General features: G+C 41.6%; 1 protein-coding gene across 8 annotated transcripts in view, besides 2 other annotated features; it reads left to right on the forward strand.

Moving 5' to 3' along the window:
- Nucleotides 1-23,584, forward strand: part of AMOTL1 (angiomotin like 1) — a 170,289-nt gene that overhangs the window by 59,945 nt on the left and 86,760 nt on the right. For 4 of the 8 annotated variants that reach the window (NM_130847.3, NM_001301007.2, XM_047426451.1 and 1 more), the window contains exon 1: nt 1,952-2,156. The exons of the other annotated variants lie outside the window; for them this stretch is intronic. In NM_130847.3, the coding sequence (NP_570899.1) occupies nt 2,108-2,156 (49 nt within the window). In that variant the 5' untranslated portion in view covers nt 1,952-2,107. Of the gene's footprint in view, nt 1-1,951; nt 2,157-23,584 lie in introns of those variants that run through there. 8 annotated transcript variants of the gene reach the window in all.
- Nucleotides 22,452-22,952: an enhancer, noted in NCBI's record as "H3K4me1 hESC enhancer chr11:94522022-94522522 (GRCh37/hg19 assembly coordinates)". NCBI's record gives its function as "activates a minimal SCP1, AML or CMV promoter by ChIP-STARR-seq in naive and primed H9 embryonic stem cells {active_cell/tissue: H9 hESC(naive and primed)}" and the evidence as "EXISTENCE:reporter gene assay evidence [ECO:0000049][PMID:30033119]".
- Nucleotides 22,953-23,453: an enhancer, noted in NCBI's record as "H3K4me1 hESC enhancer chr11:94522523-94523023 (GRCh37/hg19 assembly coordinates)". NCBI's record gives its function as "activates a minimal SCP1, AML or CMV promoter by ChIP-STARR-seq in naive and primed H9 embryonic stem cells {active_cell/tissue: H9 hESC(naive and primed)}" and the evidence as "EXISTENCE:reporter gene assay evidence [ECO:0000049][PMID:30033119]".

Below are 23,584 nucleotides of genomic sequence, written 5' to 3' on the forward strand. Positions count from 1 at the left end.
GGCAACTTGCTCAGCGTCACACAGATACTGAATGGTGGAGCTGCAACTCAGCTCATGCCTGTTTTGTTCTAAACTTGATGGTTGTAACTTGGAAATTTTGCTGCTTCCTAGACTATAGGATGGTATCTAGGAGTGGGCAATTAGTAAAGATTAGTTTCCTTTCTTCTTTTTCTATCCATCACTTCTTCCCCAATTTGTATTAAATTCGCGCAAATGTTAGGTGAATCAGTGGTCCCTTCACTGTCCATAAGATAACCACTTCAGCTCCTAATTTGCGATTCAGGGTTCACAATGTGTAATACAAGGCACATTGAGGCAGAGGTTGTTTCTATACCTGGCTTTGCTACTAAACTTGTTCTGTAACATTGGACAAGTCATTCAACAGCTATGCCTGAGCTTCTTCATCCGGCAAGTGAAAGGTTTAGTTGACACTTTCTTAGATTCTTTCCAGGCCTACATTTTTGTGACGTTGTTATTCTGCCTTCCCTTGTTTTCTCCTCGTTTCTGGTAAAAACGCTTTCCTCTATGCCTTCTTCCCAAGCACCCAGACCTTGTCATCTCCCTCTTGGCTTTTGCCTCTGCTTGCCCAGTGCTGCCTTTTCCTCTTTCTGCTGTGTCTGAACTCCACCACCCTCCCAGGCTTTTCCTTCTGTGTAGTCAGTGCCTCTCTCCGCCCTTCCCAGGCATCTGCAGTACTTGGATCTCCTGCTTTGTTGCTTGCCTGTTTTCTGTTCACACATCTTGTCTTCTTAGACAGATAACAGATCCTTGAAGGGCTGGTCAGCTGCTCTAAGTTTCTTTTGTGTGCTAAGTTTCTTTTGTGTGTACCAGGGTAGATGACTTTAAATGGAGTAGGCATTTCATAAATAATTGTTAAATGATTACATTTGGGCTTTATCTTGAGAGCAGAGTTTACTCAGTAGGAGGGCCCATCAGGGGAATCAGAATCAGGACATGCAACCCACCAGAACTGATGAGAGGTAAAACTGCTGGCAGTCTAGTTAGGGAACTGCCACAATCCAGGGAGGAGTCCCTGAAGGCCGGACCTAGATAGCAGGTAAACAGAGGCAGGGAGCACCAGATAAGAGAGGCTTGGTGTGCGCTAACTCTCCCACTAACATCCTGGGCAGCAACTGTACAGTTACCTAGCTTTCTCTTCTCCAAGCAGTAGAGCTGCCCGGAAAAAGCCAGGCAGAAGTGCTATGGGGCAGGCTCGGGCACCCCAGATTAGGGCTCCAGAGAGCCGCCAGTATAAACCAATATAATGAGGTGGATGAGTAGTTCTCAGCACAGCCTGATTTTAAGAGGTGGGGCAACATTTTCCCAGAGTCGCTTACTTTCTTTACCTCTACTCAGGCAGATAACAGCCTGGGGATTTATGGCCAGAGGATGTACGGTTCTGCGAACACATTTAATATCCGAGGCTGTCAGGTCTGTTTTGGCCCTTCTGTTTGTCAACGGAGCACATAGTAGCAGCTTATCGCCCAATCTCAAGTGCGTGATGGAAGCACTGGGGCCTGGGGAATGCTGAGAAAAGTGTGGCCACTTTCTACCTGGAAATTCCACTTAAGAAGAAAAAAAACCAACCTAAGCAAATCTAGACTTTTGGGCAGATCCGGAAACAGAATTTTGGCCGGCATTGGGCTGGTGGGGAAGGAAGACAAAGTGGAGGGAGAACTGGTGAGTCTGAAATTAATCAAAACCCGGCAGGGGACAAAGGAAGGGATGCTGTCGCCCTCCTAAGTCTCAGGGAGACACGTCAGCTTGAGCTCTGGGCAATTTCAGCCTGGCAGTCTCGCGGCCCGGGGAGGGGCGGCGGGTGTCTGCAGACGGGCTCTAGGGCCCAGCGGCCGGGCGCCACGGCGGGGGTGGAGTGTAGGGTTCTAGTGACGAGCCCGGGCGACCCTCCCCGGCCCGCGCGCGGGGAGCGGGGAGCGCGGACGGCGGCGGGAGCGCGCGAGAAGCTCTAGGACCCAGCAGCGGTTGTCGGGTTTGGGGCTGGAGGTGAAGCCCTGTGTGAATGGGGTTGATTGTCCGGCGCCACTTCCCCGCGCTGCCCGGCAGCCGTCTTCCCCAGCCGAGGGACTGAACTAGCCATGATCGCCTCATGTGGAGGGCAAAGTTGCGCCGGGGAACTTGTGAGCCTGCGGTGAAAGGTAACCAGCCCCCACTCGAGGTGCCGGGAGGGCGTCTCCGAGTCTCCCACGCGAAGAACCCAGTCGCCCCGGGCTCCCCGGGCCCCTGCTGCTCACGGAAGGGGGCAGCTTCTGGGGGCCCGGGGCTGAGATCCCAGATTGTTGTTTTTAAGCGGGTTCCCTTGCCCCGCTCCAGGTCCAGTTGCCTGCGGGCCGGGCCTCAGCGTCTTGCCGCCCCGCGACCCACGTTGACTGAAGTTGTGGCCCCGGGGTTTGGGCCCCGGGGTGCTGCGCGCCCGACGCGGGGCTGGCCTTTCCTGAGGGGCGCAGCCATATGGCCAGACACTCCGAGGCGCGCCCGCGCCCGCGCGCGGGTCTCGCGGCGAGGGAGGGGACGGAAGGGGGTGTCCGGTGCAGCTTTCCCCGGCGCGAGACAAAGGCGCGCGCACCGGCCCGCCCGACGGGCTCTGGCGCTGTGGACTGGACCCTTTCTGCCCGCCGGCCAGACCCGGCTCTGGCGGGTGGGGGCGACGAAAGGGTCGCACCCCAGCCCCAGACGCTCGGATCGCGTTAGCTGCTGCTCCTTCTTTGTTCTCTCCCCAGACAAGTTTCTTTGACAAACTGGAGAGTTACATCCAGCTCCCGCTTGCCTGTTAGGGCTGCCTTTACAATAATCTGCTTTCGCGGGGAGAAAATTTAAACTTTCCAAATGGAACTGTTTTTTCTTGGAATGTGACATTTGTGGCAGGAGGGAGAGTGGTACGTTGGCCGATGACAGCCGAGCGGAACGGTGGCCTAGTGCCGGGACAGGGACCGAGCGTGCCCCATAGGCGGCCGGGCTGGAGGACGCGGCGGCAGAGCAGACGAGCCCTGGCGCGCACCTCTAGGGCCTCCGCTACCTGGACTGCGCTCGCGGCGACGTGTCCAAGTTTCCCCCCTCAGAGCCCCAGGCCGAGAATCCCGGGTATCTGCGCAAAGCTCCCGCGCCTCGCCCACCCTACTCTTCCTATCTTTACTGATGACTAGGAAGACTTTCCTTTTCCATTTTTGTTCGAAGATTTTTGCCTTTTTGGCTTCGGTGTTGGTTTCCTGTCTCCGCGTGGCAAATACCTTTTGGCCGGGCTAGCGTGTGGATCACCTGGACTGGGGTTTCAGAGGTGGGCCCTGAGCGTGCGGCCTCCTGAGACGATGCGGTTTGGACCCAACATTTTGTCCCCATGGTCCCTCAGCTCCCTTTCTCTGTGAGGCCTTGGTTTCCCATTTTCTTCTCCTGAGGCATGTTATGAGAACTGAGTTTTTGTACTGCTTATAGAAGGCCTTGGTGGTGGTGGGGTACGTGGTCTCGAGAGCCAGTTGTGATACCTCGAAGATGCTTTCGGCTAACCAAAGCAGTAACGTGCTAACCTGCTCACCATAAACGAATTAAACCAGAATAGAGGGCTATTAATAGCTACAGTTCCAGAAAATTTCCTTCCTTTTCGGGAAGCAAAAAGTCAAGGCTTGAAATATTAAACAATCATGGCTCCCTGCTTCCAAAACTGGCCTATGGGTCACTGCCAAACTGGCTAAGATTTCCCCTGGCTGCATACCACTCCTGGGCCCGGGCAGCTGTGGAAGTCAGACCCAGGTTAACGATTAAGGAGCTCTCTAGATTGCAAGGTCTTAAAGAATCTAGAGCAACTGACATTTACTTCCTAGTAAGGTGCTCTGAGCCTTATAGTGTGTATCTACTTTGAAGGCTCTTTATGAGAATAATGTGGGAACAGTAGTTTAATATACTTTGAACTGTTAGTAAAGGGTGGAAAAGCACTGATTTGACTAGAATGAAGGAAAACACCGATTCGACCAGAATGAAAAGGGTAGGACATAGGTAGAAGGCTTTATACAGGCTCTACTTTTCCTTATGATGGTGGTGGGGGTTGGGGGGAGGGATGAGGATGTTTAGTTCTTGGAGTGCACTTTTGTTTTTCTGTGATGCATTTTTCAAGATAAATAAGGAAACCTTTGTAAACCTGCAGGTGGATAGGAGAGAAGGTGCTGTACCTGTAACGCCCCTTTCCCTCCCCCTTCTTTTTAAAATGCACAGAAGTCTTGGTCTTTCAGGTTCTTTGCAGATGATGGAGGATGTAGCATACTAATTTTCCAAAGGGCATGTGGAGATCAAAGCATTTAAAAATACATCTTTTCACGGAGGCTAATGGAGGATTTTCAGTTTAAATGAGATTTTAAAGTGCTGTCGTTAAGAAAAACACATGAATGCAGAAATGTGAGTGATTTTATGGGAAAGCACTCCGCTGATCAGACTTGAGAGTGTCTGCCCTGGGCCAGTTAGTCTAGAGGCTGTTGTGGGTAGAGCTCAGCTTTTCTGATGTCTACCCCTAAGGAAAAGTGTGGACCCAGGGCCTAGGGAAAAGATGGCTGAACTAATTGAAATGAGCAGTCTGGCTGGTGAGAGTTCTGTTGAAAGGTATAGCCTCTAGGTATCAGTGCTGCATTTCTTCATAGTAATTTGTGAAAATGCTTTGAAAATGATAAAACAAAGACTTTTGAAAAAAATAATTAATGACATGAAATGGGAATTGCTAGTGAAAATTGTAAAAGTTTGATTTTTCAGGCCAATAAATTAAAAAGAAGTAACTTTATAGGACCTGCTAATATTTCTGATATATAAAATTCCCCCAAAGTAACCTTTTCTATTTTCTTTTCTTTTTGGCGGGGTTGGGGGGGGGGTGCGGTGTGTGGCTATCTGCATTTTAAATGCATAAGGAAGCTCAGGTCAGAAAATTCTGCAGTGTTTTGAATAATTTTTCTCCTATTTTTCATTAATTTTGGCAGGTTCTTATGACTCAGAATTTAGTAGGTAATAAAATCCTCGAAAAGCAAGGGGTAGTGTGGAGGTCAAGTAAAGGGAGATATTTGATTACAAGGTTTGTTGGAAATAGTCTGAGGTTGTTGTGGTTTTATGTTTTGTTTTGTTTTTTTGTTTGCCTAGTGATTTTTTTAAAGTTAATTTTGTTGGCTTGGCTTTGTTTTGTCTTGAAGGAGAGGTACAATGTAAATCTTGGCCATTGTGGGTAGGGCAGTCCTCTACTTTTGCTGGAAGGAAGCCACTCCTGCTCTTGGTTTATGTGTTGGCATCAAGCTGAGTTCTACTTTAACTTGTGAGGCCCTTGGCTCTGCTCTCACGGCCAGGCCTTGTGTAACCTTAGGGTATATTCATTTTGGACACTCAGGACAGGACTCCTGGACTCCTAAAGGGGCTCACACATCAGGCATTTTCCCCCCATCTTTTAGGAGAGAGTAGGAGAGTAGCTCTAAGGTGTTGGAAATGTATCCCTGTTAAGATACTGAAGAATTAGATTTAAGTTTTCAAAAACTGTCGTTCTATGGTGTGTGTTTAAACCTGTGTTTGAGACCTCACTGGCCAATATTGCAGCTATATACCTCTATTTTTTCATTTTGTTTTTAAGTAAAATGTCTGCTGTTTACTTTTAACTTTTCGTTTTGAAATGATCATAGCTTCATAGGAAGTTGCAAAAATAGTAGAGAGGTCCTGTGTACCCTTCACCCAGTTTCCCCCATTGGTAACATCTTACATAACCATAGTACAGTAGCAGAACCAGGAAATTGACATTGGTACAGTCCACAGAGCATATTCAGATTTCACCAGTTTTACATGCACATGTAAAATTTGTATTTCTATGTGTGTACTTCTATGCATTTTTTCATGTGTAGATTCATGTAACCGCTACCACAATCAAGGTACAGACTATTTTATTACCCCAATGATCTCCCTTATGCTACACCTCTATAGTTGCACTGGCCCTCTTCTCCCCATCCTCACTCTGTTGCTAAATGCTTAGCAACCACTACTCCTGTTCACCATATCTATAATTTTATCATTTTGAGAATGTTACATAAATACAATCATGTAGTATGTGAGCTTTTGAGATTGGCTTTTCACTCAGCATAATGCCATGGGGATCCATCCAAATTTTTGCATCTCTCAATAGTTTGTTTCTTTTCATTGCTGAGTAGTATTCCATAATATGGATGTACTATGGTTTGTTTAACCATTCACCTATGGGTTTTTTCCAGTTCATGACTATTTCACATAAAGTTTTTATGAACATTTATATATAGGTGTTTGTGTGAACATAAGTTTTCATTTCTCTGGCGTAAATGCCCATGATTGTGATTGCTGGATTGTATGGTAAGTGTGTGTTTAGTTTTTTAAGAAATTGCCAAACTTTTCCAGAGTGGCTGCACCACTCCTATTAGCAATGTATGAGAGATCCAGTTTCTCTGCAACCTCACTAGCATTTGATGTTATCACTATTTTTTATTTTAGTTGTCCTAATAGGTGTTCTAGTAGGTGCTCTAATCTTACCATGGTTTTAATTTGCATTACCCTAATGGCTGATTATGTTTAATGTCTGTCTTTTTTATGTGCTTATTTGCTATCCATATATCCTCTTTGGCGAAATAACTATTCATGCCTTTTGCCCATTCCCTAACTGGATTATTTATTTTACTTTAGAGCTTTAAGAGTTCTTTATATATTCTAGATGCAAGTCCTTAGTCAGATTTGTGGCTTGCACATATATTTTCCCAAGTATGTAGCATGTCTTTTTATGTCCTTACCAAGGTCTTTTGCAGATCAAAAGTTTTTTATTTTGATAAAGTCCAGTTGATAGATTCCTTTTTTCTTTAAGGATGGTGCATTTAGTGTCACATCTAAGAACATTTTGCCTAGACCCATGTCTCAGACATTTTCTGCTGTGTTTTCTTCTAAAAGTTTTATAGTTTTACATTTTATTTTTAAGTTATAGTTCACTTTTGTCTGTCTTAAGAGTTTGTATGTCTTGCTGCTGAGCTTATAAACCATCTATTAGGTCTCGAATATGCACAGATGGACTATCAGGTGTAGTTCCCATTCTGAAGTGCTCACAGATTAGGGGTGTGGCATGTGGACATTACCATGTGTTACTACTATGATGGGGACACATGTGATGTACTGTGGGTGCTCTGAGGAGAGAGGGCTCACTTTGGTCCAGGCGGTCAGGGAGGGCTTCCCTGGGCATGCTGCCCAACCATGGTGGGAATAAAATTGGTTTGCTTTTGATCCAGTTTTTAGATCTTTATTGCCATGAATTCTTTAGAGTGTGTTACTCTGATTCTTGAGCACATGCTGATTGAGTTGGCATAAACTGAGTGGTTGAGGACCTTTTTGAACAGTACATGGCATGATAGCTTAAAAGAAGGTGAAAACACAGTACTTAAAACTCAGTAACATAAACAGTATGAATGAAGTTGAATAGATTAAGAGTTATGTATATGTTAAAATGAAAAAGGAGAGGTAGTATTTTGGATTGAGAACAGGTGTATCCTGGCCCTGCCGCCTCCTTGCTGTGTGACCTCGGAATTGTACATGCTGAAGCCTCATGAGTAAAATGGGGAAAATAATAGTTCTTCCCTCATGGAGCTGCATGAGGGCAAAGTGAAGCAATGCGCACAATGCTGGGCACGTTGAAAGCATTCAATAAATACCTGCTACCATTATTATTACTAAAACAGCAGAGAAGCAAAACACTTTATAATGTTACGTAAATTCGCATGTATCCGTCTTCTTTGAGAACCTGGAACCCCTGTTCTTACTCATGGAAGTGTTCCTTTTCACAGTTGGGAGCGCTGTGAATACTACTTAGTGAATGAGATAGAAGCTAGGATGCCCTATTCACAATCTATTACTATCTATAAAATAAACCTTTCTTTGCTTCTATAAAAGTATGATTTCTGATGAAAGAATGATTTCCTCTGTGCCCTTGAGCACAGGAGGCAGGAGGAGGTGGGTCTGCATTCAGAAGGCTAGTTCAGAGTTTATGGTGCTTGGTACTGTAGGTGCAGTAAGTCAGGGCTGATGTCACCAGGCCGTGTCTCAAATTTCATAACTGGCAGCTCTGTTTCCTTCTTGATGACCAAGTTGTTTACTTCTCAGAGGAAATTAATTGGGTCTTAGATGTACAATTCCAGGACAGTTGTTCTCAAATGTGATTGAGCATCAGAATACCCCAGAGGGTTTATTGAAACATGGATTGCTGGGCCGCACCCCTAGAGTTTCTGTTTCCTTGGTTGATTGAGGATAGGGCCTAAGACTTTGCATTTCTAACACGTTTCCAAGCAATGCTGATGCTGCTGGTACTGGAAACACATGTTAAGAATGACCATTTTAAAACATAGCCCCTTTAAATTGGGCCTGGACTGAGATGCTTACCCTTTGGAATGGAGTTTGTTCATCTATAAGTAATTGAGTTTGAAACAGATCTATTTCTAAGGTTATTAGTTGATATAGCTATATTTCTTCCTCTAATCACTCTTCTTTTGTGCCTCACTTTCCTGACCATGACTTTTTCTTCTATCATTTGTCTCTCACTCCTTGGAAGACATGCCACAACTGGGTATATGGCTACCATATTGCCTTGGTAAATCACTTAGGCTCTATAAAGTAAGTGTATTTACTAAATATTTATCTTCTAAGGTTATTGTGTGGCTTAAATGACATAGTGAATGTGAAAGAGCTTCATAAGAAGTGAAATTTTGTGTAAAATAGTTTTCTTAAAATTATTTTCTGCATCATCAGTATCTTTTTGGAGCAGTGTCTCTGACTGACGGTAAGTTTCATTGCTACTTGGGGGACTTGGTAACGATTGCATAGACATATGCAGGGACCATGGACATACTCAGGGACATCATGAAGAAGGTTCCTGCAGTGGATGGATGGTTAAGCTAGGGTCTGAGTGCCTTCCAAATGGAAATGTTTTGGAGGCTGATTGATAAATAGTTGTAGTAAGGACCAAAGGAGAGCCCAGTGCTGGAAAATTGCTTGAGCAGATGTTGAAATATTAGAGATTCAGCTTCCTCAGAGTAGAGAAATATAACTCTGTGACTTTTTTTTTTTCTAGCAGTTTAGGACAGATGTGATCTGGCCCACATCTATGTTTTTAAAGTTCTAGACCTATGCTGTCTGTAGTAACCACTAGTCACTTGTGGCTATTTAAATTAATGAAAATTAAACGAAATGAAAAATTCAGGACCTCAGTCACACTAGCCACAGTTCAAGTGCTTAATAGCCATTTCCATCACTGCAGCAATTTCTGTTGAGGAGTGTTGTTCTATAGTGAGATTGGCTCTGTTGTCTGATGGCAACACCACTGGGCTTCAGATGATAAGACAGGGACACATTTTTGAATGAAATGTACCACATCTCCCTTGGAGGGCTGGTATGAACTGATTGGGAATGCTCTATTCACTTGAACCCCATTTTACCACTTCTGTTTTGGAGGCTCATTCCATTTGAAAGCTGGGTCAGCATGGCAACTGGGTTATGCTGGCGGCAAAGCTTACCAGGCCATTATCAGGAGATGTCTGCTGTTTCTAGGGATGTTCCACTCATGGGATTCTTCCAGGGATCTGGTCCTTGAGAGAAGCAAATAGAAATGCTTGGGTGGAATTAGCACGGAAAGGTCCTCCTGAAGAGGACCATCAAAGGTCATCCTGAACTTCTCCACCTTGGATCCGTTCCACTGTTGAACCAAGCTTTGTCAATGAGAGGCAGGCAGCTGGCGCTTGTTCATCTCTCCAGTGTTTGCACATGCTCAGATACCATTCCACACTTCATCATCCTATTGTCTCCTTTGAAAGTGTTCTGTAAACTGTAATAAGGTTCATCTCCTTGCCCACCCTACATCCAGTCAGTCTTTAGGTCCTGCAGTTGACCTCCAAAATACTTCTTGCATACTTTCCCTTCCTTTGCATGTCTCTACAGCTAAACCAGTTTAAGGGCTAATTACCTGTTTCCTGGACTATTGTGATAGCCACTCACATAACAGGTCTTCCCACTTCTGTTTTCTTGCACCTCTTCTGACCTACTCTGTCCTTCCTTCTTTCCCTGCTTCCTCCCACCTTTCCTCCACCCTTCTCAGAATAGGCCCAGCAAGACAGGGATGATAGATATCTTGTCTTCCAAGCTTGCTTTGCTTTCTCTTTGTGAGGTAGGGCTCTGCACACGCCCTGTGGCCACGTGCCAGGGAGGAAGGAGGCATCTCACATTCAGCTGCTGCTTCTCAGCTGTGAGGGCTGCTCTGGGTGGTATGACCCAGCAATGTGACCCCTGACAGCAGGTGTGAAGCAGGCCTTTTCCTTTCTGACACGGGTGGTGTTCTGGAGGGCTCTGAGAACCAAGTGTTTTGTGAGCAAGCCTCCTCTATCTGCTGGTCTTGGGAAAAGTAGAGAATATGAAATCCTCTGGTAAGGCCCTGTTTCCTGAGGGACTGGCTCCTAAATATCACTGCAGTTATAGGTTGATTACTCATCCTGGTGATGTGGGAAAGGTTGGAACATAGAAGAAGGGCAGACAAAGAGATTAGGAAATGTGCTTTTTATGGAAATTACTGGATGCAGCACTCAGTGCATATCATTAAATTCATTGCAGAAAAACACATGTAAAACCAATCTAGCTTCTTGAAAAGAGAAATGGTCTAATGGTCTTTTTATCTAAAAGAGCAAAGAAAATGCCTTCTGAAATCACAGTAAGCTTCAATTAAGACACCTGGGAAAGTAATTTTAAAAGCATCACACAACCATTTATACAAACATTGAAGATAATGGCGGTGTCAGGTTTGTTTAAACTAGTAGGTTTGTTAAAGGACATAATCCTGTCAGGCTTATCTTCCCGTGGTATTGACTGGCCTGGCAGATCAAAAATGAGTGGTAAGTGGCATAAAAATGGTGAATAAATATACCTTAGCTGACTTTTAGAGTTGATCCTGTATGATAGTCATCAAAAAACTGAAGAATAGAGTCTAAAAAGTCTACTTTGAGATATATATTAGCTTAACCCTGAGTTGAGGCATTACATTTCCCCAAATTCTAACATTTCTTACTTTCAAATTTCTCCAAAATAAATTCCAGGAGTTTGGAGAAAAAAATTGAAATAAAGACAAATATTTACATTTTAATGACATTTATTAAGTGACTAAAATAACTTTATTAGTTTAGGAACAAAAAATGGGTTATGTGTAATTGTTTGTTCATAAAATAAAATACTGAATTTCTTGTATTAAATTTAGTAATTTATTTAGGCAGTAGTCACAATTATGCTAATTGAATTTACTTTGAATATTTTCAATTTCTCTTATAGAAGAGACATTAGGGAGCATGACATTTCTTATTTTGGACAGAATATAAATTAGGCAGAAATTTGGATACAGAATCACTCACTCCTTAAATATCTGTTGAGTGAATAACTCTGCTTTGTACAAGTCAATACTGAGGTGGAGAATTTGATGGGGTTACAATAAAAGGATATATAGTTCATCCATCTGATATTTGAGGGTCTGTCATGTGCCAGGAACTGGGCTAGGTGTGGGATATATATCCTTTGCTCCCCATGGAATTCATATTCTATAAAAGGAATGTAATGTATTAAGATGTTAGAAAACAAAAGACAAATGAACTGGGTTCGTTCTGCTCTAAGAAGAGAAGAAAGGATTCATAACTGTCTTTCAAGTATTTATTTTATTTTCACTTTGAAATGAGCTTAAATCACAGATATCATGACTTCTACAAGCTTAGAAGAGTTCTCTCCTGGGGAGGGTGGATAAATACAGATTAGGAGGATATGGAGGGCAAAGAGGCAACCAAAGAATTAATAGAAGTGTGGGGGTATCTTACTAGAAATCTGCTTAAATTGAGAAAATATGATGTAATGTCCTGCCTGATGGTGGGAAGAGGACCCTAATAGGCTAACTGTGGTGTGCCCTTTGGATATCTTTTTTTGATTTCAGTAATTATCTATGGAGCTTAATGGTTAAGACTCCAGAACTGGAAACCTGTATTCACACCCAAACTGTGCCACTCACTAGCTTTATAATCTTGGCTAAATTACTTAACCTCTCTGTCAAGTAGAATTTCCTCATGTGATATATAGGGATCTTAATTACACCTACCTCAAAAAATTGTTAGGAGAAATACATGCTGGGTATAAGAGCAATATCTGACACATTGGAAGAGTTAAGTGTTAGTTATCATGGTTGTTGCAGTTACTATTGCAACATTTTATTATGCTTATAGATTCTATGGGTCTGGACTTCAGGCAAGGCACTGTAGGATGCCCTGTCTCTGCTCCATCATTCCTGGGACTTCTGGGGCAAGAAGACTGAGAGCGCATGAGTGGTTTGTGACTGGATTCACATGTCTGGCACCTGGGCTGGGATGACTTGAAGGCTAGGTCTGCAGACCAGAGTGTCAACAAGTTGCCTTTCCACATGGCTTGGCTTCCTTATAGGATCGGGCTAGTTAGAATCTTATATGGTGGCTTAGGGTTCCAGGTGTGAGTATTCCCAGAAATTGGATGGAAACTGCATTGCCTTTTATGATTTAATTTTGGAAGTCACGTAGGGTTACTCCTCTATCTTCTCTTGGCCAAGTGGAAAATAGATATAATTATAAGCCTGCCTAAATTCAAGGATGTAGACCCACCTTTCCACAGGTGTGTCAAAGAATTTGCAGACATGTATTAAACTGCTACAGTCATCATCATTATCATGTTATCATTAGATAAAGTATGAAAAACGTAGCCCACAATAAGTCTTTAACTATTTGGATTACCTGGAAACTGCATTATTCTGAAGATGTGAATTTCTGTATAGTTGAAGGCAAATATTTTTGGTGGTGGTTTTTCTGTAAGATTGATCCCCTCCCCACTACTTTACCTCCTGCCTTATGTAACATTTTCTTGACGGTTCAGAAAATCATTATGAACATCAGTAATATGATGTGTTGTTTGAATCAGGAGTGGGGAGAGGCATATAGATAATACAAGTACGCAAGATAGTTTTCTTCCAAGAAGATGCTTTGCTTTCCGTAGTCAAGATTATGATTCCAAAATAGACAGTAACTGAAGGTACAAAATGATGATAGAATTAGTATAAAATGCATTTATATGCTCTATAAGCAAGAGGTAATGGGTAATACACTTGAAAGCCCTATTTTCGTAATTTTTTTTTCCCCTTTAAGACATTGTACCGTGAGACCCCTGGGCACTTGTCAGGTAGAACTTGATCAACACCCACAGAATAGGACAGAATCTCCAGAAATGTTATATTATGTTCTGGTCACATTGATTTAGACATTTTTTTCAAATAATTATTGTAAATCCATTTTGAGACCCTTGATTTGGAAAAATTATCCAGTTATCTGTTGCATAGGATACTAAAGAAAATATTACACATTATATACCTTGAAGTGAGGTTGGCCTTTTTAAAAAAAAAAATTATCGTTTGATTGGCTAGGCCATTAAAAGACTCACCGTTTTGAGGATGAAAATAGGCTTTAAATTGCCATGTATGTTATGATCCTGAAGGAATAGACTTTTTCTGCATTTTTGGTAGTAAAGAGTTTTTCCTATGTTGTCAGTGAAAGGAACAGATCACTGCAAAGAAGAGATTTGAAGTTCATGTTTTGATCTCTGTCCTATTATATCAGAGATGAAATGAAAGAAAAATTATGGAACAAAGGTGCTAGGGAGAGGAAAATTCTTTTCCTCTTGTTTGTAATGCTCAGTACAGAGGACAAATCCATCACTCCCTCCCTCAGTAACTACCCTATTGTCACTGTCTCTGAAGATGGAGCCTCTTAGGCAGCTGAGGGTATTCAGGCTAGTCTAGTTTCTGATACCTTCTCCAGGGCCACTTAGCCCTTGACTTGCATGCCAAGGTGGCCAGGTAAGGAGACTTTGAAGAACCTTTTGACAATACCATGTAGCCTTTTGTTTTGTTCTTTGATAGAACTGGACATTTTAAGCTTATTTTCTGAGTAATGGTGTATTATTGGTCTTCCCTCATCCCAAATTCTTGGAAAGTTGAAAATGTAATTTTAGCATAGTTTGTTAGCTGAATAGTCTGACCTAAACAAAACTCTAAAAGCTTTCATCTCTTATCTGCCTGAGCATCTTGCTGCTGTTCTATTTTAAAGAGCTCACTGATTTGATCATCTCTTGAAAGTGAACTTTACGGGGGTGATTCCTGTTATCTTTTCCTGTCTTCATGAACAGAAACTAAAATTTACCGAGCACTTCCTATGTGCTTGGAACACTGTTAATAGCCCTTTCTGTTGTCTCAATTAATCTTCGTAACAGCCCTATGTAGTAGGCCCTATTATTATTCTCACTTACTAATAAGGCAATGGGTACCAAGAAATTAAACCATTTGTTTATGTTCACATAGCTCATCAACAGCAGAGCCAGGATTCTTACATTGTTTAAAAAGCAGATTTGCCAAACAAAAACAGAAAGTATGGCATGTCCTTTCTTCCTGCTTGGTGGATATTTTCTCCTCTATCTTTTTTTGTTCTTTAAATCTTTCTAATAGTGTGGTCTTTTGGCTTGACAACATCATTCTCTTTCCCCTTCAGTCATCATGTCTTAACATCCTTCCCTTTGTCCAGGATCACCTGACTTCCTGCTGGGCAAGTTATTGCAATTTCTTTTCTCCTCACCTAAAACTAATCTCATGGAGCCTTTTTTTCCCCTAGTGAAATAATCATTGTTGGCTTATATTCCCCTTCATAAGAATTCCTCAAGGACCCGAAGGTGCATTCTTGTGCAGGTGTTTTCTGGGTGGGCGTCTAGCTCTCTCCAGATGCATTTTATTTAACCAACAGGGGTCCATTCGCCTGACTAATAGAGTTCAAGCAGTGCTTTATATCAAAGGGCCTCTTTCAGGTTTCACTGACTTCCAGGGGCCATGGCCATCTTCCTTTGCCTGGGCAGGGAGATAACTCATTCTCAGTTACAATTGATTGTCAGCATTTTCATCTTAAAATTCTCCTTGACTTTTACATCTTTTGGACTTTCCCCATGGGGGAGGCTGTGTCATTTAGAACAACGTTTCTCAAAGTATGTTCTGTGGAACCCTATGGGAGGAGGTCTCTGAGACCTAAAAACTCTCTTCATAATAAGCCGGGTGCGGTGGCTCACGCCTGTAATCCCAGCACTTTGGGAGGCCGAGGTGGTGGATCACGAGGTCAGGAGATCGAGACCATCCTGGCCAACATGGTGAAACCCCGTCTCTACTAAAAATACAAAAATTACCTGGGTGTGGTGGTGCATGCCTGTAATCCTAGCTACTCAGGAGACTGAGGCAGGAGAATCGCTTGAACCTGGGAGGCAGAGGTTGCAGTGAGCCGAGATCGTGCCACTGCACTCCAGCCTGGTGACATAGCGAGACTCCGTCTCAAAAAGAAGAAAAAAAAAAAAAGAAAAAAACTATCTTCATAATAATGCTAAGACATACTCTCACCATGAATCAAGACAGTGGTAGTAGTCAGTCAATTAGTCAGATACTCAGAATAACAAAAAAGCTCATTTCCACTTAGGAATGTTCTAGTTGAGGCAGTACAGATGATTATATTAAATCTCAAACCTTGAGTATGTCTTTTTAACATCCTGTGTGATGAAATGGGAAGATACATGAAGTGCTTCCGCTGCAAACTGAAAAAACCCCTTGTGTGATGGAATTGTGATGTAAATATGAAACTAGATGCTTTTCTCATGGAATCCATATTTACTTGAAAGAACAACTGACAAACTGTGGTTATTCTGGCTTGGGCATTTGGTAGATATTTTCTCCAAAATAAATAAAGGGAACTTGTCACTTCAAGAAAAACTACTATTTGCTGAATTGGATAAAACTCAAGCTTTCAAGTGAAATTTTAATTTTGGAATTTTTGGAAACTTGTATCTGCCACCGTGAACTGGACAACTTCCCAATATGTAAAAGACTTTTCTGATGATTGAAATCCATGGTATATTAACAAATGGGATTTTGTTGATATTATATACTTGAAATGTTTCAATGTATGGAAGATCTCTATAATTCATTGAACCATTGTTTTCCAGATGACCACATATGATGTTACATTCATATGTAAAAAATAACAACTCCCTTCAAAGTGAAAGACAGGCCAATAGATTTTAATGTAATACAGTACAGAGGAGTATCCATGAAAAGACCACTGGCAGGGTTTCATATTTTATGTTGCAATTGCCTTCAAGAAAATGCCAGTTGTTGAGTTTTGGTGTGGTTTCACAGAATAGTCACAATTATCTGAAGAGGCTATTAAAATACGCTTTCTTTTGCCAACTACATATTTGTATGAGGACAAATATTCTTCATTTACTTCAATCAAAAATTATATAACAACAGATTGAAATCAGAAGCAGATATGAGAATCCAGCTGTCTTATATTAAGCAAGATATTAAAGGAATTTGCAAAATTATAAAAAAATTCTCACTTCGTTTTAAAACTTTTTTTTCATAAAAATATTTATGTAACATATCATGGCTTTATTATTGATATTTTTACATGAATTAACATATACTTTCTAAGCTTCAGTTTCAAATGCATTAAATATTGATTTAGCTCACATTAACAATAACTCATTGGGTCCTCAATAATTTTTAGAGTATAAAAGGATCCTAAAACCAAAAAGTTTGGGCACTGTTGCTACAGTGGCAAAAGCCATAGACTCTAGAGCCAGGCTAGCTGGGGTTGAATCATAGTTTTATTCTTTACTGATGGTATGGCACTAGTCAAGTTACTCTCAGTGCTTTAGTATCCTCATCTGAACAATGGGGATAATCATCATATAGTTCTCATGGGGATTGAGTGAGTTAATACAAATTGTTCAGAACAGAACAATACCCTCCACATAGAAAATTCCCAGCAGTATTTGGTTACGTCCATTTGCCTGTAGTTGATTTGTCCCTAGAAATTTTATTTTCCAGCATGTTTCCCTGTTAGTCTCCCTCTCAGCATCATGGCTGATGATAAATTAGGGGTTACTACACTGGGCTTTGTAGTGAACTCCATGAAATTGTACACGAAATATATGTGTGTACAACCTTCTAGACCTAGGGAGAAGTTCTGTTGCTTTAGACAGATTTTTTAAGGGGTATCATGAGCCAAAACAAGAAGGTCAGAGAGGAGAAAGAAGTAGGTATAGCCCCAAGCACAGTTCTAGATCCTGTGTGTGTGCTTTGAGATGAATGTGGGCACTGGTATCCCAGCTCACCACTCCACACTTCCTTGATACTGTTATTTCTGCACTGTTAGACAGTTTTCTGCTTTATGTGTTTGTCTCTCTTGATAGACTTTCAGATTTGGGTCTTATATCTAGCACTGTCTTGCCCATGGCAGATGCTCACTGTCATATATCTTTGTGGAATGAATGACTGAATGGACAAATGGATGAGTGAATAATTCTGCCTTTTGCTGCCAACGACCCATGATCCTTTGTAACTCCTACTATCACATGTATCTGTTTTGTTTTTTTTTTTCTGTGAATGCTTTGGAGCAGTCAAAATTGAGTTTGCCTCTTAGCCTTATGGCTATGAGCCCTGTGACCCAGGGCCTGTCATTCCTGTTTTTGTATAGTACAAAGGAGAAAAAGAAACCTAATTCTCAGGAATATGAGGATTACCTGAGATAATGCTTGTAGCATGTCATGCTCAGTAATGTTTCTTTCTGTGTCTTTCTTCCCTATAACTAGATAGCTGCTTGTATTACTGGGACTTTTTGGCTGCAGTTGGCCACTACAACCAACTAGTGTGTAGTTGGTTCACATTAACTCACTTAAATCCTCATAACAACTTTATGAGGATTATCCCCCCATTCTTAGCAGAGGATTTTTGAGTTTCAGATTTATCAAGCATTTATGTATGGTATGCTAGGCATTTTCACAGCTTTATCTCATCATGTTGTTGAAATGAGTGTATAGTTTTTGTTATTAATATAATCACCTTTTTTCTGTTTAACAGTATTTTAGATGTGACTGAAATAGCCATATTCTCATACCCAGTCATTCAGGTTTGCACATATAAAATATAGGACACTAAAACTACTGACTTTAAATCTGAATTTATTGAAAAGTAATAAATTATAGGAAGTATTCTTCACATTACTAAAGGAATTATTGCAGGTTGGTTGGTTAGTTCTAGAAAGAGTTTAATCTCCTTTACTTATCCATTATTTTTTGGATTTATTAAATCCAACACATTTTGTACTTAAAATGTGATTTATTTACAAAATTTCAGTTTACCACAACTTTTCAGGAGTGTATATGTTTGTTGTGTAAGAGCTTATATTGGCAGAGAAGTGCAAACTTCCCAAACCTGACTGCATTCAAATTGTCTGTAAAAGATGGTCCAAAAACATCATTTCTGGTCTATACTTGTGGTGAAGCCAGTGTTGCAGGTCTGATGTGGGGACTTGGAAGTGAGGTTTTTAACAAGCTCCATGAGTGTTTCTGACACACTGTAAGTTTGGGATTCATTGTTAAAGTGGCAACACAGCCATGAAAATAATGTGCAAAAAAAAAAAAAGAAAAGAAAAGAAAATAATATGCAGCCAGATGGAAGTGATGAGGAAGGGTGGTTTCATCAATTGTCTTGGTGTTCTGGTGTTTGGCAGGGAGTGCCCTGTTATTCCCTGAAGCTTTTATAAAAAATAACACAAAGAGAATGGTTCTGGATCCTTCTCTGCCTCATACATGGAGAGAAATAAACTTTCCCAGGACCTTTCCCCTTTATCCACAAGTTAAGAATATTTCATTACAACTCTCCTAATTTTAATCTAAGAAATTTGGTGGGAAAAAAAAGACTTACAATTAGTTTGCATTTATTGAGGGGTCTTTGGAGGGCAGAATGGTGTAGTCAAAAGAGCTTTTCTGTTGGAGGAGCAGTGTTGCTGGCTGGTTTTGTAACTCTGGGCATTATGTAACCTCTGTGAGCTCAGTATCACTATCAACAAAATGGGAGTGAGTGGTGATAAATAATATGATTTTTATAACATCCTGGCACTAATAAGCACTCAATAAATGGTAGCTCCTGCTCTTATTGGTTATACTCTTTATTACTTAAGGGATGTTTAGTTTCTTGGAGATATTGGTTGTTTAAATTATGTAATTCATTCATGAACGCATATTGATTTAGGAGCTGGGTGAGTGTGATTAGAAGCAATGTGCTTGCCTCTTGAGAGAGTCCCAGTCCCTGTGGGATGCCGCTGCCTGACAGATATCCCAGTGTCACTCATCTGCAACAATACACACTAATAGGGTCCGGAAAGCTGGAGGAATCCGTGGCAGACAGGAAGTATCTGAACTGCTCCTTTCTCTTAGTGGGAGTGAGAGAGGGAGCTTTGCAGAGCATAATTATACAGACATATTGTCATTTCATGTCTGGAGGGTTATTTTAAAGCTTTCTATCCTGTTTGTTTTCCTTTGTTCAAAAAATATTAAGTACTTACTGTCTGCATTGAGTATTACATGCTGGTAATACTTGTTCACTCTCAGTGGGACCACAGTGTGTGCCAGAGCCACCCAAAAGAATACTACTGTGGTCCTGAGATACTTACTTCTATATAGGTATAAACAAACAGGTTATGATGAAAGATTATTTAAATTTCAGTAACTTAATTAAATATAGGGTTTATTTATTAAAACTTATCTGAGGAAAAGAATCTCGAGTTCAGGTACTTTCAGTCTTTTTGTTTTAGATAAGTTAAGCAACAAATATATCAACATAAAATATATATTATAATGTTACTATATACAATTTGAGTCAAGATATTTAAGGACCTTTGGATTTTATGTTAAAGGCTAAATTTTAAAAATTATTTTTGTAGAGAAAGCCTTTTTATTATGGATACTGCCACTGCATTCTCACGGTGACTCTGTGTGAGAGGTGGGACTGGGAATATTCCTTTTTTTATTTACCGCAAGTGAGAAGAGAGGACTCCTGCCTCTGCCCCGGTGCCCAGACCTGCGGAGGAAGCCCAAGCAAGGGCCGCATTTAGGGCACAGTCCTGTGGGCTCAGGACCTGCCTGTGGGGGCTGAGGAGGAGGGGAGCACGCCTTTCTCTGAAGTGTGAGTTTGTGCTCAAGCTACAGAATCCCTGTGTGGTTGTTACTTCTTTTTTCTTTTTTCTTTTTTTCTTTTTTATTATTATTATTACACTTTAAGTTTTAAGATGTTACTTCTAACATTATGTACAAAGCCTTTGTGCAATTGGATCACAGCACACTTGTAATTAACCTGTTTCAGCACTAGGTGGCTTTCTCTTTTTCCCCGCAACAGCTTTTACCTTCGTTTCCTGAGTAGTTTGAAGGGCCTTAAAAAAGGCAAACTTAACTTTGAGCTAAGCTCTGTAGTAAGAACATGCTTATAACTAGTTATTTTAAAATGTATCTGAATATATCTATTAAGCTAATGTATTTGTTGAGTCCACATGATGTGTCAGAAACTCTTCGGTACTAGGAACATATGCAGACGATTCATTGGTAAAATAAATATGTGTTGAGTACTTGCTGTGATCTTATTTCTGCTAGTAACTGGAGATACAAAGGTGAATAAGACACAGTCTCTGTTGTTATAAACTTATGAGTTAAGGGGGGAGGGGTGGGAAAGAAACTAAATACACAGGCAATTTAATACATTATGATATCAGTATGCATAGAATGCTTGGGGAGCACTGAGTAGCATATAGAAATTGGGGGGAGGAGGGAAAGATGACTCCCTGGAGGAAGTGGCACTAGAATAGAGCTTCAAAAGACTTTCTCATAATTAGTATATATTTTAGCATTTAGTATGTGCCAAAGTAAAAGTTTCATAGATTTGTAAGGGTAGACAGGCCCTCTAGATGAAGAAGACATCGGGGAACTACAAGTCTTTTTCACAGGTATTTGCACAAGGTTGGTGCCAAGGATAGGTAGGGCAATGTACATGAGTTACTATAATTCCAGGCAGATAGTGCTAAGTCATGTAGTACTTAAGATACAAAACAAACACTTTGGGAGGCCGAGACGGGCGGATCACGAGGTCAGGAGATCGAGACCATCCTGGCTAACACGGTGAAACCCCGTCTTTACTAAAAATACAAAAATTAGCCGGGCATGGTGGCGCGCGCCTGTAGTCCCAGCTACACGGGAGGCTGAGGCAGGAGAATGGCGTGAACCCGGGAGGCGGAGCTTGCAGTGAGTCGAGATCGCGCCACTGCACTCCAGCCTGGGCGACAGAGCGAAACTCCGTCTCAAAAAAAAAAAAAAAAAAAAAAAAAAAAAAAAAAAAAAAAGATACAAAACAAAATGCTGTACTAGAATGAGAATCAGAACAATTGCTTAAAAAAATAAGTCTATCAGAGATTCTTGATTGTAAGAAGCACAAAGTGACGTTGGGTAACTTAAGCAAAAGAGAAATTTATTGGAAATATATCGGGCAGCTCACAAATTAATTGGAAGGCTCAGAAAATGGGCAGGAATCTAGGCAGATAGCCACTGGGAACCCAGCCAGAGATACGCTACTTGTCTTGTTAGGGTGAGGTCACCATAGAGACTGCTGCTGCTCCTGGACTCCAGGGGATAGTGCTATCGCAGGTAGTTTATCAACACCTTTTTGTCCTTGCATCATTTCCTCAAGATTCAGTGCACATCCAGTTGACTGAGCCTAGGTCGTTCTAACTGCTGGAACAGGGTTGGCTTCTGTAATGGAAGGTAGATAGAACCTGCCCCTAGACTTAGACAGTGAGTTCAGTGTTCCCTAACATTGAAAGGATTTACTTAGGTGACTATCAGGAAGGGAACATGGTAGGTAATAGTTGGAAGTTGAACTACCTAATCTCTAATTTATTTTCCAGCTCTAACATGTTAGGAAAATAATGTACTCATGCTTTTAACCCCCTTCTCCTTACCCATAACTAAGCTACGCTGAACTCTCTATTCCTTAAAGAGACAACACTTTCATAACCCAGTCCTATGCTTTTGTTTTTCCCATGTTGGGCCGATCTTCCCTCACTACCACCTTCTCCACACCCCACAGTGGATTAACATCCTCCTCATTTTCCCTCCGGTTCAATTTCAGCCCACATATCTCTTTCTCCTTGTCACTGAAGCTCTATGTCCCTTCCGTCAGTCAACAGGTAGTAATGATTACTCATGGAACTCCAAAGCAGTATGTTCCTTTAACATACTTTGCAATAAAAATGGGTAGTTGTGTGCACGTTGGTCTCTGGAACCAAATCGTAAAATCCTAAGGGCCAAGGACAGTCTTACTCATTTCTTGCTATTTATAGCTCCACTCACAGTGATCTCTTGGACTCAATTGTTACTTTAAAGGTTAAGCATGTGCTCTGCATTTTGGTTTATATTGATAATATCTCAAAGATTTTTAAGTAAGCATTACAAAGTTAAACTTCAGACAAGTTTGAAGTTATTCAACACACATTCCACTTTCAGAGAGAGTCTAAGTTAAATAGGTGTCGGGGTCTTGATTTCACTTGTTTTCTGGAACATATGGATTGGTCCAGGGTTTAGAATTCAAGTTTGATGCCCATTCAAAAGACCTGCCATGTAGGGGTTGGGAATCTTGTAAACCCCACCCCTCAACCCCCAACTCCAAACCTCGGGTTTCAGGTAATGGTTGCTTGGGGGAAAAGAGAGTGAGAAAGCATATTCCAGGGAGTGCTTTTAGTTTAGTGGTGGAGCTTACTGTTTCCTTTTTATTTATTTCTGTATTTTTATTTTTTGAGACAGAGTCTAGCTCTGTCACCCAGGCTGGAGTGCAGTGGCGCAGTCTTGGCTCACTGCAACCTTTGCCTCCTGGGTTCAAGTGATTCTCCTGCCTCAGCCTCCCGAGTAGCTGAGACTACAGGTGCCCGCCACCATGCCTGGCTAATTTTTGTATTTTTAGTAGAGACAGGGTTTCACCATGTTGGCCAGGCTGGTCTCGAACTCCTGACCTCAAGTAATCCACCCTCCTCGGCCTCCCGAAGTGCTGGGATTACAGGCTTGAGCCACCGTGCCCGGCACTGTTTCCTTTTTAAAAACATGTGTTGCATGCAGGTGTTTGGAGGAGGCACTGCTGCCTGTCAGTGCTGCCCTTAAGATTGTGAATCAGCTAATCCAGATGAGCTGGCTTGGTTTCACATGAGGACTCCTAAACAGGCTGGCCCTTATTTTTCAGGTACTGGTCATAGGTTCTCCAGCCCTTTTGAAAACATTGTTTCCAGGGTATCCTTCTCCTTGAGCGGAGTATTCGGCTCCCTAGAAAAACCTCGAGTTCTGCCGGAATCAGAAGGCTTGATGGCTTACATTTAACTTTGAGGCTGCTGGCACACTCAGCAAATTCCTTAGCTCTTTGAAAGGTAAGATAGAAGCCACAGAATTGTTTGTTGCTGTGGTTAAAATCTCTGTTATAAAGTTATAGGAGGTTATTGTAATCTAGACAGTGAAATTGTTTTTAAATCATTAGGAGGTTTTGGATTACATGTAGCTGGCAGAAAGCTTTGCCCGTTGGTGACATAACACCTGGGAGTTGTTCTGCAGTTAGTGGTCTCTT

The sequence above is a fragment of the Homo sapiens genome, chromosome 11 (genome assembly GCF_000001405.40).
Source record: "Homo sapiens chromosome 11, GRCh38.p14 Primary Assembly".
Lineage (NCBI taxonomy): Eukaryota > Metazoa > Chordata > Mammalia > Primates > Hominidae > Homo > Homo sapiens.